General features: G+C 41.4%; 2 pseudogenes, besides 1 other annotated feature; one reads left to right on the plus strand and one right to left on the minus strand.

Moving 5' to 3' along the window:
* Positions 3975-4939, plus strand: HLA-N (major histocompatibility complex, class I, N (pseudogene); annotated as a pseudogene).
* Positions 8299-8800: an enhancer, noted in NCBI's record as "NANOG hESC enhancer chr6:30323175-30323676 (GRCh37/hg19 assembly coordinates)". NCBI's record gives its function as "activates a minimal SCP1, AML or CMV promoter by ChIP-STARR-seq in naive H9 embryonic stem cells {active_cell/tissue: H9 hESC(naive)}" and the evidence as "EXISTENCE:reporter gene assay evidence [ECO:0000049][PMID:30033119]".
* UBQLN1P1 (ubiquilin 1 pseudogene 1) lies at positions 11495-17012 on the minus strand (annotated as a pseudogene).

Here is a 17272-nt window from a genome sequence, read left to right on the forward strand (position 1 = left end):
GATGCCACTGCTGCTGTTTTTAAACAAGGGGAGAAATATGGGGCAGCGGAGAGTGTTTGTATCCTCTAGGCCCACTCATAGTCAGAAAAGACTCAGGTCTTTTCCCAGTCTCAAAGTTGTCTTTAATAAAATTCTGATAAAGGAAATGGCGCAAACCTGAACTAACAAAGTCAAAGATGCTAACAAAGGACACCGACAGACATTTTGCAATTATGTCCCATAGGTAAACTCTCAGAGTTTTCTTAAGAATAAACAACTAAAATGTTTTCTTCGATATCCCTAGAAAGCCTACTGAAGTACAGAATTCTTAGACTGACCTTTTTGCTAAATGCCAGCTAATAAGGTTATACCAAAAGCATACAAACAAAATTTACTACTTCCAGAATGCAGTTTTCTTTTATTTCTCTTATAAACCCTGTGTTTGCTTATCGATAGCTGTATAAAAAAATCACTTCATCATGTTGGAGCTTAAAACATAATGATTTATTATTTCCTCTGGTTCTGTGAACTAGGAATTCTGAAAGACTTTGGCTGGGTGGTTCTCCTGTTACATATGAAATCAGCTTAAATAGCTGCATTTAGCTGCTATCTCGTAGGTGGTCTGGAAGACCCAAGAAATTTCACTCACGTGTTTAGCACCTCATTGCTTCTCCAAGTAGCCTTGCTCCCTCGCTAGCTTTGATGTTCCCACAGCATGGCTGACTCAGGGTAGTTGTATTTCTTACATCCCCTCTGGCTTCTACAAAAGCATCCCAATATGTAAGTGTTTGGCTGGATGCTGTGGCTCACACCTGTGATCCCAGCACTTTGTGAGGCCGAGGCAGGTGGATCACTTGAGTTCAGGAGTTTGAGACCAGCCCGGACAACATGGTGGAACCCTGTCTGTACTTAAAATACAAAAAAATTAGCAGGGCGTGGTAGCAGGCACCTGTAATTCCAGCTACTCGGGAGGCTGAGGCAGGAGAATCACCTGAACCCAGGAGGCAGAGTTGCAGTGGGCCAAGATCGCGCCACTGCATTCCAGCCTGTGTGACAGAGTGAGACTGTCTCAAAAAAAAAAAGTGTTTATCGAGCCTCTGTTGGGGTCACACTTGCTAATGTTCCCTTGGCCAAAGCAAGGCACAGTGCCAATGCCAGATTCAATGTGGAAGGGGCTACACTGGAGTTTGAACGCTGGGAGGTTCATTAGTTCCCTGGGGATCACCAGTGTAACAATCTACCACAGGGGTCCCCAACCCCCAGGCCCTGTGGACTGGTACTGGGCTGTGTCCTGTTAGGAACCAGGCTGCCTAGTAGGAGGTGAGCAGTGGTGGAAGGGAGGGATGGGCCAGCATTACTGCCTGAGTAATCAGTGGCAGCATTAGATTCACATAGGAGCATGAACCCTACTGTGAACTGCGCATGCAAGGGATCTGGGTTGCATGCTCCTTATCATAATCTAATTGCTGATGATCTGGGGTGAAATAGTTTCATCCCAGAACCATACCCTTCCTGCTCCATGGAAAAATTGCCTTTCACAAAACCAGTCCCTGGTTAACCTGTCCCTAGTGCCAAAAAGGTTGGGGATCACTCATCTACCACATTCTTGTTTTGCCTTTGTCCCTGACTTGGTCTCTCCACTGCCTCCTTCACATGTCAGTAAATTATTTGCGTAGAAAATACTAAACAGTGTACATGTAAGTAAATGTTTCTGAGTCATCCTTTGACATTTTATTTCTGGAAATAGTGCCTACCTGGGTCAACTTTCAGTCCAACAAAAATGTGTAGCCTGAAAGTAACACCTCGTGCATACCTGGGTCCTTTGCATCCTCAGCTCACCTTCCATGGCTCCTCCAGTAAGTTTAATTTGGGATGACTGAGCTCGACTCTTGCACACTTAATCTGATCTTTGGCTAAGTTTGTCTTGAGTGTGTTATGATTGCATGTGACTGAACATGTCTACAGTGGGATAGCAGTGGGGAAACTGAGTTTCGATTTCATGGCTCAGTCACTAAGTGATTCCTCTCATGTGGGAGATCATGGGAATCAGGTCCCAGTCAGGATGAGCGGCAGACAAAACAGTATCTGGAATCTGGTTCACTTGTGAGTCTTTGTGGTTTCTTTATTTGTTGTGGGTTTCTATCAATATATAACTCTAAAGATCACAGCCCTCTTCCTCTTTCCACAGCCCTCTTCCTCTTTCCTTTTTCATGTTTAATTATAAATATATGATTACATATATAACATTTATATTCTATACATTGATACATGATTCTATGTATTAATACAGATACATCATAAAGATATATAATGTGATAGTGGCATATTATATGCAAAAATGGATTTCCTAGATGAAAGATGAAAATAAACTGAATCCCTGGAATGCAGTAGCTTTCTCAAGTGTTTCTAGAAGTTCAATAACTCAAAATTTATGCCCTTTTAGGACTCTAAATAAAATTAAAGGAGAGAGAAGAAACTTAGGTTATTCAAATCGAATCAAGAAATGAGGTCTTCCAGTAACCATAGAAACTATGCCTTAGTCACTCCCTGAACATTAAGTTCATTTAGCACTTTCAAAACTAGTGAAAACCAGTATCGTTATTGTCAGGAGGCAAAAGAGAGAAGGATTGAGAGACTGTTATTTTGAATTCAAGTAGCAAAAACGTTAGAAAAGACAGGTCTTGAACATTGAGGAATCTGAGTTATTGTCACCATAATAAATCAGTGTGTATCTCTAATTTAAAACAATTATATCACTATGAAGATAGTGCCTATGCTTAGTAACTGCTTAATAAATTTTCAAAACTATTTTGAAATATAGATTCACTGGAAGCTGCAAAGAGCATACTGAAATGTCCCCTACATCCTCACCCAGTGCCCCCCAGTGGTTCCTCTTTTTATTGTGGTAAAATATACTTAACTTAAAATGTATCATTTTAGCCATTTTAAAGTGTACAATTCAGTGGCATTAAGTACATTTGCAATATTATACAATCACCACCACTATTTAGTTCCAGATCTTTTTCATCATCCCAAACAGAAACCTGTTTCCATTAAACAGTCACTTCCAATTTTTCCCTATTCCAGCCCTTAGCAACCACTAATCTGTTTCTGCCTTTACGGATTTGTCTATTCTGTATATTTCATATAAATGGAATCATACAATTTGTAGCTTATTGTGTCTGATTTCTTTCACTTAGCATAATGTTTTCAGGGTTCATCCGTGCTGTAGCAAATGTCAGTATTTCATTCCTTTCTATGGCTGAATAGTAGCCGATTATATGGATATACCACATTTTGTTTATCCATTCAGCCATCAATGGACACTTCCGTTATTTCTGCTTTTTGGCTATTGTGAACAGTGCTGCTATGAACATTTGTGTACAAGGTTCTGTTTCAGTATCTGTTTTTAGTTTTTTTGTTGGAGGATATAGGTGCGGTTCGTTTGATAGTTTTATATTTTAACTTTTTGAGGAACTACCAAACTGCTCTTCATGGCTGCTGCACCATTTTGCACTCCCACCAGCAATGCACATGGTTCTAATTTCTCTCCATCCTAATCTACACTTACTTTCAGTTTGTTTTGTTGTTTATTATAGCCATCCTATAATAACATTCTAGTGGGTATAAAACCGCTAGAAGTCAATCCAAAACACTAGACAAAAACCACAAAACCTCTTTGTGGTTTTGATATACAGTTCTCTAATGAGTAATGATGTTGAGCATCTTATGTGTTTGTTGGCTATTTGTATATTTTCTTTGGAAAAAGGTCCTTTCAAGACCTTTGCCCATTTAAAAAAAATAGGTTGCCTTTATGTTTTGAGTTTTAGGAATTCTTTATATATTCTGAATACTAGACCCTTATCAGATATATGATTTGCAAACATTTTCTTTCATTCCGTGGATTGTCTTTTCACTCTCTTGATAGTATATTTTGATGTATAAAAGCTTTTAATTTTCATGATCTTGCAGCTACTTCCTCAAGAACCAAACTGTCTCTCTCAGACCTTATCTTCTGCCTCCATCCTGATTCTTTTTGGAGCTTGTTCTAACCCTGGCCCTGCCCACTGTGACCTTGACACTACTTAATTAGGACCCCCTCACCTCCTTTCAGACCTGGTGCCTCCAACTATATCCTGCCTCACTCTGCTTTGAAACAGGAAAGTGTTCCCCCTGGACTCTTAGAGTAGATGTGGGTATCTGAGTTTCTCTTCCTAAAATCCTTTCCTTCTTAGAGCGATCAATGAGCCCTGTTGAATGGCCTATGGAAGGGAAATGAATGTTCTAAATTTCCTCTGACCCTTTTCTTCGGACCCCCAAAGGCATTCCCCACCAGCACCCACTATGACCCCATCTCTGACTGTAATACCACCCTGAGGTGCTGGGCCCTGGGCTTCCACCCTGAAGAGATCACATTGATCTGGCAGCAGGATGGGGAGGACTATACCTAGGACATGGAGCTTGCAGAGACCATTTTATCTTTTTGACAACTTTTTTTTTTTTTTTTTTTTTTGAGACAGAGTCTCACTCTTGCCCAAGCTGGAGTGCAGTGGCGCGATCTTGGCTCACTGCAAGCTCCGCCTCCCAGGTTGATGCCATTCTCCTGCCTCAGCCTCCTGAATAGCTGGGACTACAGGCACCCGCCACCATGCCCGGCTAATTTTTTGTATTTTTAGTAGAGACGGGGTTTCACCGTGTTAACCAGGATGGGCTCGATCTCCTGACCTCGTGATCCACCCGCCTCGGCCTCCCAAAGTGCTGGGATTACAGGCGTGAGCCACCGCACCCGGCTGACAACGTTTTTTAAGCTCTCTGTACTGTATATACATCTAATTCAGTGTTTTGGACTGCCATAGATTATGCTTTTAAAACATTTTGTTTATCCCTTTTCTTATGGATAGTCAACTAGTTTGCTTCCAACTATATGTTACCATATATATCTCTGTAGTAGAATTCTAGACCATGGACCTATGAGAGTGGGCCTCTGGAGTACTTAGCCACAATTACAAATTGGATTCTAGGTTTGTGTGTATGGAAATTACCTGAGGAAAGTCAAATTTTCCTTCAGCTTCCACAGTCTATACTCCCTAGCAATATACCAAGTTCATCTTTCTTTACATGCTCAGTTGATTTTAACTGACTTCTTAATCTTTGTCACAATCTAATCAGTATCAACTCTTTCCCTTTCTTGTTGTAACTTGAGTTTCTCTTATTGCCAGTGATACTGTGTAGCTTCAAATAAGTCATCATCATTCATTTTTCTCTTTCTTTGAACTGCCTATTCAAATGTTTCCCCCTATTTTTCCACTAGATTTCATGGTGTTCTTTTCTTTTTGCTTTGAAGGGTGTTATGGGCTAAATGTTTGTGTTCCCCCAAAATTCATATGTTGAAGCCCTAACCCCCAGTGTGGTGGTATCTGGAGGTGGGACCCTGGGGAGGTAATTAAGTTTAGATGAGGTCAGGAGGGGGGGGCCTCCGTGATGGGATTAGTGCTCTTTTAAGAAGAGGGAGATTGGAGCTCTCTTTCCCTACCTTGTGAGGACACCGAAAGAAGGCAGTCATCTGTATGCCAGGAAGAGGATCCTCACTGGAACTGAATCTGCTGTCACCTCCAAAACTGTGAGAGATAAATGTCTGTTGTATAAGCCACCCAGTCTGTGGTATTTGTTATAGCAGCCATGGCTGACTAAGACCTAAGGTTTTGGTTGTTTTGTTTGTTTGTTTGTTTGTTTTCTTGTAATGGAAAAGAATTCTTTTAGAGTTTTACCTGGTACATTTGTGCCTTTAATACATTTTGAGTTGATTTCTACAGATTGTGTGAAGTAATCTGCTGGTTCTCTAAGGCTTCAGTGAATGCCTCCTCTCCAAGCTGCACTTGAGTCCTCCCATCTGCCTGGGCCTGGAGCTTCTTATGAAGCCTCAGCTGCAAGCAGTGGTCAGTGGCAATTTCTTTCAGGAGAGAGCCTGCCTTCAGCCAGTCTCCTGACAAACAGCATGCTGGAAGCATCAGCCCTTCCCACTGCCTTTGCTTTCTGTTGATGACCCATTCTTCATGGAGAGTGGTGTTTCTCTTGTCCTTAACTCAACTATAACTTTTCTCTTTTTACATTTTTCTTATTGCCATGTAATTTGGGGCAGAGAGTCTTTGCCTAAGCATGAACTTATTGTGCCATCCTGACCAAAGCCTGTCATTTAGGGATGTGTCCTGCTTTGTGGTGGGTCATTCTGAAATTACCCGTTTCAGCCCAGTGGAATTTAACCAGAACTGTGGGATTGAAACTGTCTCTTGAAGAGGAACTGTGGGGAAAATGAACAAACCAACATTCAGGCTCAGTTGGAGTATGCTTTTAGGCTTTCCCAGGTTATGGAGTATAAAGCTAATTGTTGATTCATTCCTTCTTGGCTTTACAGTTGTAGAAAGAGATCTGGCCTAAAATCCCTATAACTGGGACAGGCTGAGTCCAGGCTCTGACATTGGCCAGCTGTGCGACTGGGCAATATTTTGTTTCACTCTCTAGCCTCATTTTCAATAGGTAATACATGCAAGTAGCAGGAAATTCAGAAAGTATGCAAATAGATAGGGGAATTAATTTTCCAGCTACCCATTTTATCTTCCAGAGGAGAATACGGTAAAAATATTCTGGATATTTTTGTAAATATATATAAACAAGTTGGTATTGATTTAAATTTTTCTTTCATACAAATGGTAGAATACTATTCTATGGGTCATATACTGCTTTTTATTTAGCAAAAAAACTTAGTGCTCTTACCATTTTAGTATCTAACATCAGCTTCATTATTTTTCATCACTGCATAATATTCTATTGTGTGGGTATACCATAATTTATTTAGTCTGCTCCCTGTTGAGTATTTACCTTCTTTCAAATGTTCTGCCCATAAACAATATGTAAAGCTTAGGTATGGCTATACATCCAGCATGGATGAGTCTTCAAAACATACTATTCAGTGGCTGGGTGTGGTGCCTCACGCCTGTAATCCCAACACTTTGGGAAGCTGAGGCTGGTGGATCACCTGAGGTCAGGAGTTCGAGACCCACCTGACTAACATGGAGAAACCCCATCTCTACTAAAAATACAAAATTAGCCTGGCTTGGTGGCACATGCCTGTAATCCTAGCTACTCAGGAGGCTGAGGCAGGAGAATCGCTTGAACCCGGGAGGCAGAGGTTGCAGTGAGCCGAGATCACGCCATTGCTCTCCAGCCTGGGCAACAAGAGCGAACTGTCTCAAAACAAAAAAAAAAAAAGAAAAAAATCAAACCAAAAAAAACATACTATTCAGCAAAACTCCAGATACAAAAGAACACATATTGTATGATTCCATTTATGTACTGTTCAAAAACAATAAAATATGAATATACATACAGACATATAATTTATTATTTAGTGATTTCTTCTTAGGTGGGAAAACTTTGAAAATAAAGCAAGAAAACATCGCCTGAAAATTCAGGGTAGTAGCCAATTGGGAGGGGATGTGATTGCTGGAGTAGAGGCACCTGGGCTGCCAGCAACGTTTAATTTCTCAAGTAAGATAGTAGGTACATTGCATGTATGCTTCATTTAGCTGTACTTTTTTGCATTTATGTCATGTTATTGTTCACGATAAAAACGACTTTAAAGTGAAGTGAAAAGAGTACTATGCTTAAGCTTTTTGCTCACATTTTATTTTACACCTGGGTCTTTATCCACATGATAAATTTCTAAAGGTTAAGTTGCCAGATCAAATACTTTTGCAGTTAAATTTTGATGGAAAATACCAGTTGCCTTTCACAGAAATTACATCAATTTACTCCCCATACAAAACAAGACACAAAATAGTGTCTGATTACCTTACCTTCACCAGCACAATAAGGCATCATCAAATCTTTGGGTTTTGATCACCTGATAAATAACGGTTTCTGTGTATGTGTGTGTGTGTGTGTTTCTGTTATAGGGCCCTAATAATGATTTATGTAAATGTGTACAGAAGTAACTCTTTCAAGTGGTCAGGCTCCAGTGGGTGGGAAACACCTTTATAAAAAAATTGAGAAATTTTGTAGTCTTATTCCAGCCTAATGTAAAAAAAAAAAAATCAAGAACTGCACAAATGTGATTTATGGGTATTGTATCCCAAACGGTCCCATCTCTACTTAACAAATGGATTGACCCATCCTGATATGTCTATTTTTTCATTTCCTAAAACAAATGAGGCTTAACTTCTCTGACCCAAATTGTCCTTGCTGTGCTTCAAGGGGGACCTAGGCAAGGATGTGGGTCAGGGGCAGATGGACTGAAAACGTGTGCAGTGAGTGAGCCAATCATGTTTTAGGAAGATTAAAGCTCCTGAGACAGAGGACTCCTAGGCAGAGATGGCAGCGAGCTCCCCAGCTCAGGCTTTTAGCACCGCCAACTCTCTGGTAAAAGCAGCTGCACCCACCTCTTCCCTTCACTCTCACCTCCTATGTTCTTGGGCATCAAACGTAATTTTGCTTCAGAGCTCAAGGGCAGTGCAGCCTAAGGAAAACTTGTAAGAATTCCTCAGTCTTGAAGTCCTTTGCCTGAAACCAAGGAGAGATCAAGGCCTAGGGAGAAGAAGGGGAACATTCTCTTTGGAATGCTGGGTATTTCTAAGCAGGAGTAGGGGGCCCTGCCCTGGAGGGAAGGTTTGCCTTGAACTGCTCTGCCTGCACCCTGCCCCAAACTCTGCACTCTCCAGGTCCTAATCCAAACAAGTACAACAGGAGGCTGAGTTTGCAGTGGAGAGTGAAATAGCATGATAGTTACAAAATTGTCAGGACTTGTATGTGGTTGGATGCTATTGTTTTTATCTTCTTTCATTCACTGTTTTCTGCAGTATCACTTTTGCCCAAATATATTTAAAGAAAAGAATTGTATCTCTACTTTCAATTTAAAACTAGTATTTTTCTAATACATTAAAATAACAAAGGAACCAATTATATATTAATATAAACAAAAAACTAAATTAAAAACTAACTTGGGCCATGTGTGTCTATAATCCTAGCACTTTGGGGGGCTGAGGCTAAAGAATCGCTTGAGGCCAGGAGTTTAGAACCAATCTGGGCAACATATTGAGGCGCTATCTCTATAAAAATTAAAAAAAAAATCAGCCGGGCCTAGTGACATGCATAGTCCCAGCTACTTGGGAGGCTGAGGCAGGAGGATCGCTTGAGCCCAGGAGTTCCAGGTTACAGTGAGCTATGATCTCGCCACTGCACTCCAGCCTGGGCAACAGAGTGAAATCCCGTCTTTAAAAATAAGAAAAACTAATCTGTCATTCTGCCAAATAAAGATGCCTCTGGGAAATCCAACTCTGAGTGATGTCTCAGCTATCTTCTACACATCAGTTCTCAAGTGAACCCCCTTCCCTCAGGACATGTGGCAATGTCTGGATATATTTTGATGTTGTCACAATCAGGAAGGTGTTGGTGTTACAGGCATCTAGTGGGTAGAGGCTAGGAATGTTGCTAAACATCCTACAATTTACAGGACAACCTCCACAATAAAGAGTTATGTGGCCTGAAACATCAAGTACTCACTGTAACGCTGAGGTTGAGAATCCCTGCTCTACACAGATCCTCTGAGCCTGATGCTCCAGGCAGGCTTCCTCCCCTGTAATACCCACAACACCTGCATAAATTGCTGTGTTAGCTCTTATCACACTGCAAGGTCATTGCATTTATTGTCTCCTCTTTACAACTGTGGGTTCCTGGAAAGCAGGGGCTCTGTCTGATAGCTATGTTTTGTAACTATGTGTTTTATGCCTTATATTTTTCTCAGCACTTGAACATTGCCTGGCACATAATATTTGCTCCACAAATAACTGCCAGAGGCATGAGTTTAGTTTTGAGACACCTAGGAAACAGCAGAAATTAGCAATGATTAGTGAGATAAAGAGAAGGTTATTAATAAAGCCCTCCCTTTATTACATCGGTCCTTCCTAAAACCCCAGTGTGGATGGTAACATGATTACATCCATTTTATACATAAGTTAATTAATGCTTAGATAATTTACATGACGTGTCTAAGATCTCATGACTGGACAGCGGACTAGTTGAGACTCTCGCACAACTTATCTGACTTTAAAACTTCAATTCTCCTATTATTATGCAAAGACTGCCCCTTAAATATACTCCTACTAAAAGACTATGAGTGGCCGGGTGCGGTGGTTTGTGCCTGTAATCCCAGCACTTTGGAAGGCCAAGGAGGCCGGATCACTTGAGGTCAGGAGTTCGAGACTAGCCTGGCCAACATGATGAAACCCCGTCTCTACTAAAAACACAAAAATCAGCCGGGCGTGGTGGCGCATACCTGTAGTCCCAGTTACCTGAGAGGCTGAGGTGGGAGAATCGCTTGAACCCGGGAGGCAGAGATTGCAGTGAGCCGAGATGGCGCCACTGCACCACAGCCTGGGCGACAGAGCGAGACCCTTTCTCAAGAAAAAAGAGAAAAAGAAAGACCATGACAGACGCCTCTGCCTTCAAGGTGGCCAACTGGGCACAAAATCTTTCCTCCTTGACTCTTAAGATATTGTTAAAACGTTATTAGGGGAACTGAAATCCAAATTGTAAAGAAGGATGAGTCCAGTGGTGAAAATTTTCCACAAATATTAGAAATAGAAAAAAACCCTTACTGACCTATGAAAGAAGGCAGAAGTCCTAGCGCATAAGAAACGCTAGAGGGGGCTGTAGCCCAGAGAAAACCAATCAACCTACCAAATAGAGCCCCAGAAAGAAACCTCCTCCTCGCCCCTCCGCCTTCCTCTGTGTTCCTGCCGCTCCTCCATTCCTTCTTTGGAAGACGCAGCTCCTGCATTCCTTCTTTGGAAGACTCCCCCCTTCACCGAGGTTACCTACCAAATCCGCCATAGGGTGTGGTCCAGGGTCGAGTTATCACAGACCTGTCTCCCCAAGGTCCCCGCGTCGCGTTATCTAGGCAGAAGCGCTGACCCCGCATCCCTCCCGTCGGGACCCCACGCGCTGCCCCAGTGAAATGAAATCCTGGTGCTTGTGGCGTGCGCTGCGCGGTTCCACTCCGCTGTGCCTTCCTTTCCGCCCGCCCCCGACGGCTGGACGCCCCTCTGTCGATTGGAGCGGTCCTTAGTGCTACGTGTCCTGGGATCCCCAAAGTTGACCGCCCCCACAGGGTGTGCCAAAGCTCATCAAGCGCCATTCCAGTCTCAACCTTTATCTTTTACAATTTAAAATTTATTTATTATCCATGTAAGGAGAATAACTGGTACACTCAGCGCAGTTCTGCATATATATAGGCCATAAAAGGAAATGAAGCTTGCGTGACACTTTCCGTGAAAGCAATAGTACCGAACTACAAATCAAACTGCATCTTAGCCGATCTCCTGAAGAAGAGGAAAAGCCTTGCCAAATGCGTCTTCCCAGCAGGATGCAAACCTCCTTCAGCAAACACTGAGTAAATCTGGGAGTGCTGAGACATAGTACAATGCGAGTTTTCAGTGTAATTGAAAAAATTGAAAAAATTGAAAAAAAAATAACTAAATTAAGATTTTCGACTGTTTTCAAGGACAGTACTGAGGCAGCACGTTTGCAGAGTGATATTTTTCAAAAATGCTGTAAGAAACTATAAAATCAGCTGGAGATATTCTGTTGAAATGTGTTTTTCTACAAAGCAGAGTCAAAAATCACACGCTATGTAGTACACAAATAAAGTGGAAGCTGTCGATACACGTATAAATATAAAGGATTTTTGCTTACACAAAAAATATTCCAATGTCCCAATATGCAACATTGCTGAACAAATATGGAGCTAAACAAGTGGCTTCTAATGAATTATTCTAATAAATTTTACTCCGATAAATTACATACTTAAAATATTATATTTAAAAACAAACTGGAGAGCTGTAGAAGAAACCCTATTTATCCTCATGTGAAGTTTGAGATTTGTTTGTAATTTTTTTTAAATTAATGCAGGAGAGAAGTGCGTCGTTGAAACAACCACCTCGAGTAAAACAGCATTTCTTCTCACCACACAACAAAACAAAAACCCCACTTGCTGCATTTCAGTTTAGAATTTATTGTGTTCACTTTAAGCAGGGAATGTATCAAAACTCAAAATTTAGCAGACGTTTTAATGATTTAAGAACTATTATAGAAAATACTTTTTTTCCAGGAATAAGTTGCTATATCTTAATTACTAAGTAACCCCAATTCCTATTGCTTTTAGAACTTCCCAGTTTGCTTCAGAGTTCAACGGCCCAGTGTGCAAAACTGACTCGTGAATTTTGTAGGTGATGTGGATTCACCCTGTCTAGCAGGAGTCTGCAGCACTGGCTGAAAAAACTGTTTCTGTGGTGCCTGATGAGAGACTTATGCTTTTGGCAATTGCATACTTAGATACGTCACCCTGTAGAGCCTTCACTGCTTCCCAATCCACCCCTCACTCCCACCTAATCTCTGACCAGGAGTAAACCCTAAGATGAGCTTAGAGGCTCCTGTGGCTAAGGGCAGTGAAATCCACTAAAGTGTGTCAGGGCTGAGAGAATATCGGAATTCTGCAACTGTGCCCCAAATTCAGGATTCTCTACTTTCAGTTCATCGTGGCTTTTGTGGAGCAGGGCTACACATTGTGGGTAATCTGTGGGGTTTCAGTTACCTATTGCAAGACATTGTTTACTCTTCTCACTCCATGTCCTTTATATGGTGCAGTAAAACTCTAGTGGGGGCTGCTGGTGCTGGGTGTTGGCGGGGGCCTCCTACCCAGCAGCTGCTGCTGCTGAGCTCTGGAAGTTTGCTATGGGCCATGGATTGGGTAATGTGTGTCTAGGTTCTATGTAGGAAGGCTGACCACTTCCACCTGGAGCCATAGCTCAGGAAGGAGGCAGATGAAGCAGATGAATAATCACCAGCGTGTCTGGAAAGAGTGAGACACTCTGGAGACTCAAGGGACAGTGTTGGCGATTTATTGGAGGTTTGCAGTGTCACAATAGGAGGGTGTTTCAATAGGAGGAAAACATGGTCCAATTGAAGAAAGGGCCAGAAGGAAGAAAAGAGGAAGATGGGCTCCAGTGCTAGAAAAGAGAGACCAAATACAGTCGAAAAAGCAGAGAAATGTATTTTTCCTCAAGTTCTTCTGCTGTCACTTTCACTGCAGATCTCAGCTTTGCTCTTCCAGAGTCCCTCCTTTGGCACTGCACTGCAGCCCTCTAGCCGACCGAGGGCGGCTCCTGTTCTCTCTGCAGACTGCACATCCCTGTCCTCGCTCAGCGCTCCCCATCTGCTGTCGCTCCTTCCAAGTGCACGAATACTTAGAGCTTAATCCCCGCAAACCTAGTTTGCGTGACAGTGCCCCAAGCCGGGAGACCCACAGCTCCTTTCCCTCTGGACCTCTAACTGACCTGCAGCAGCGGGCTTAGTACTCAGCTCAGCACGCTTCTGGTCTCTGGTTCAGCCTTCTCTCCCACCTAGGCCTATGGAGCTACTCCATCTCAGGCTTCTGCTCTTGTCTGGGGTGCGAATCGTAGTGTGTGGCCACTTCCCCAGCTCAGATCATCATTGCCTGTCCCTGGGATTTCTGCCAAAATTTCCCAACACATTTCTTTGCCTTCAGTCTTGTTCTCCTCCAAAGACTGCCTGCAACCAGAGAGGTCTTTGTAAAGGAAAATGTCATCTGTCTCTCTCCTACTTCAAAACTTTCATGGTCCACATAATCATCTCGATTGACACAGAAAAGCATTTAACAGAATTCAACACCCTTTCTGATAAAAACATTCAACAACCTAGGAATAGAAGGAAACTACCTCAACACAATAAAGGCGATATATGAGCAGCCCATCACTAACATCATATTCAAGGAGAAAGAATGAGGAAGGCTTTTTCTCTACCATCAGAAACAAGACAAATATACCTATTCACCACATCTGTTCAACTTAGTATTGGAAGTTCTAGCCAGAGTAACTAGGCAAGAAAAATAAAGTAAAACACCCAAAATGGAAAGGAAGAAGTAGAATTATCTTTGTTAGAAGACAGCATGATCATATATGCAGAAAACCCTAAGGATTACACACACACACACACACACACACACACACACACACACAGAGGAAGAGAGAGAGAGAGCACTAATAAACAAATTCAGCAAAGTTGCAGGATACAAAATCAATATGTAGCAGTCAGTTGTATTTCTATACCATGCCTTGCAACATGGTGTTTCTTCTAGTCCTGAAGAGGCAAGTTGACCCAGTCCAGGTAGAGCACCGACTTAGAAAGAGAAAGAAGGAAACAGCTGAAAAAATCTGAGAAGGCATATCAACTTGTGAGCCAAATATAAATCATAATGTGTGTTAGATTAACGAAATGTACTTTCTCATAGTAATACAGTATTTCTAAGTTCTGCTCAGATACTGTTACTGTGTATGTTTCTAGAAAACACAGCCCCAAATGTGCATAGTCTTGAATACAAAAGAATCAAAAGCCATCAATATGTGGTATAAATCCTTAAAGCATTTTAATTGCTAAAAATACATGCCAAAGTCACAGTAAACAACATTGCTCTGCAAACTATAAGATATAAATAATTTGCCTCTCTATAATAATTTTACTCACAAATTACTACCTGAGTAATCTCGTTAATCGTCCCTAATCTCATCCTAATCCCCAGAAACTGTGAGTGTTGCCTTATTTGGGAAAAAGGACTTTGTAAATGTGATTAAGAATCTTGAGAGAGATTATCTTGGATTTGCTGGGTGGGCCCAATATAATCACAGTGGTCCTTATCAGAGGAGGCAGGAAGTGTCAGAGTCAGAGGAGAAGGGAATGTGATGATGCCAGGAGAGACTGAAGTGATTCATTTTGAAGGTGGAGGAAGGGCTTACAAGCCAAGTAACATAAACAGCCTTAGAAGCTGGACAGGATTGGGGAATGGGTTCTCCCCTAGAGCCTACAGAAGGAACCAGCCCATCTGACATCTTGATTTTAGTCCACTGAAAGTAATTTTGAGTGAACTGAAGTCCACTCAAAATTATTTTAATTTGCTGATTTCAAGAGCGGTAAGTGAATACATATGTTTTATATTAAGTCACCAAATTTGTGGTAATTTGTTATAACAGCCATAGGAAACTAATGTACTACTTTGGTAGTCTGGAAGACAACCCTTCCAAGGATATCCATGTCAAATCCTTGGAACATGTAACTATTACTTTATATGACAAAAGAGTGAATATTACTTTGTATGGCAAAAGATATGATTAATTTAAGAATGTTGAGAGGATGAGCTAGCCTGGAGTATCTGGGTGAGCCCTAAATGCAATGACATGTATTTTTATAAAAGACAAGGAGAGGGAATTTTTAAAAACTTTTATTTTAGGTTTGAGGGTACACGTTGAAGGTTTGTTACATAGGTGAACCTGTGTCACAGGGGTTTGTTGTACAAATTATTTCATCACCCAAGTATTAAGCCCAGTACCCATAGGGAATTTGAGGTTCACAGACACACAGAGGAGAAGGTGATGTGAAGACAGAGGCAGAGATTGGAGTGATGCAGCCACAAGCCAAGGAATGCCTGCAGCCACCAGAATATGACAGATGCAAGGAACTGATTCTCCCCTAGATCCTCTGGAAGGGGCATAGCCCTACTGAGATCTTGATTTGGGGCTCCTGGCCTCCAAGGTTGTGAGAAGATAGATTTCTGTTGTTTTAAACCATCAAGTTTATGGCAATTTGTTGCAGCAACCACAGGAAACTAATACAACTATCACAATCTAATGTTTAAAAAGCAATTAATTGGATGGTTGTAAGGCAAAATTATGTATCTCAAATTTAAAAGTTGATACCTGTTTGCAAGAAACTCATTAAATGCCAAAGAAGTACTTGATTCAAACAAGTTCCTTGAATTCAAAATCAATTATTTGTATCTAAAAGTATAAATTGCGTTCTATCTGCATCACCATATGTTAACAAGACAATGCAAAGCTCAAAATGTAATTTTGTATTATTTTAAGTATTTGTGAAACATTATACAAATTAAATAACTTTGTTTTAAAAAAACAGAAACATCGCTGTGCTACAGTATTCCAAAACTTCCAAAGATCCTACTACCCACTTATGTTGTTATTAGACATTATAAATTTGCTTTTTGATTCAAAAATTTCACTGTAGTAAACAGAGCTATTTGTTCCTGAAAACTAACTTTTAGGGTTTGTACCGGTGAGAACTTTCTCCTTCAGGAGCCTGCAGTATGTGTGGGCAAAATCAGATTCTATGATGCCTGGTATGGAACTTCTGTTTCCTTCAGGGTGACAGAGGGTCATATTGTTCTCTGCAGAGCTCCAATGCATCCCCATCTTCAATCCCGCCAGGCCAAAAGCAATCCCTAAGATAAGTCTGGGTCTTTGTGGCTGATGTTTGTAAACTGTGTTGAACCTGTAATGAGGCCTTCATTTCCCTTTAGGCTTTGGTTAAAAGTGTGTCACAATTGTGGATCAATGATTAAGTTAAACTTCTCATGAAGTGGCAGATTATATGCTGTGCCTGGTGGTGAGGTTTCAGGTTTCAGGTTCCTGCTGCTAAAGCTCTGCATCCCTTCCACTGCAGGCCCTTACTTGGGGCAACAGTACTTGTCCTGTGAGGACCTGTCAGTGTCACCCCCAGTGCTGGTGGTGCTCAATGGTTGTTATGGAAACCAGGGATTAGGTAATGTTCTCTAGTTTCTACATAGGAAAACTGATCACATTCAACTGAGGAAACATTGCTCACTAAGGAAACGGATGGATCCCCACCAAACTTTCTTGAACGGCACTCAACATTGGTCCCTCAATGTCAGACTACATGTTCAACAGAGTAAAATATGCCCCTGGGATTCTCTCAAGATTGCTCAAGGCTTTGCTTTGGTATGTCATCATTTTATGCATCATTGTTGGAAGCGAGAAAAGTTTTAACAATTGTCATGTTATATCCAGAGGATAAAGCTGAATCTAATATCTAGATTTCTATGTATCAACTGGCAATGTTTGGGAACCGGCAATACTTAAGAACCTTATAAAGTCAGGGCTTTGAAGTGTACTTTAAAATAGATTTCCCATCCTCTGAAGTACACAAACATCTTTCCAAAGGCACCTAACCCACAAGGATTCCTCTTGATAGAACCAGATGTGAAGTTGCTACAAAGAAATGATGGTGTATGAGAAACCATGACTTCCCAGGGTCTGCGTTTGCTGAAGTCACTGATTATGAAGTCATTTTCTCTGTGGGTTTGGGTGTTAGGAAGAATCCACTGTGACTCCATTGTGGATCCATCCTCACTCAACAT

Source organism: Homo sapiens, chromosome 6, assembly GCF_000001405.40.
Source record: "Homo sapiens chromosome 6, GRCh38.p14 Primary Assembly".
Classification (NCBI taxonomy): domain Eukaryota; kingdom Metazoa; phylum Chordata; class Mammalia; order Primates; family Hominidae; genus Homo; species Homo sapiens.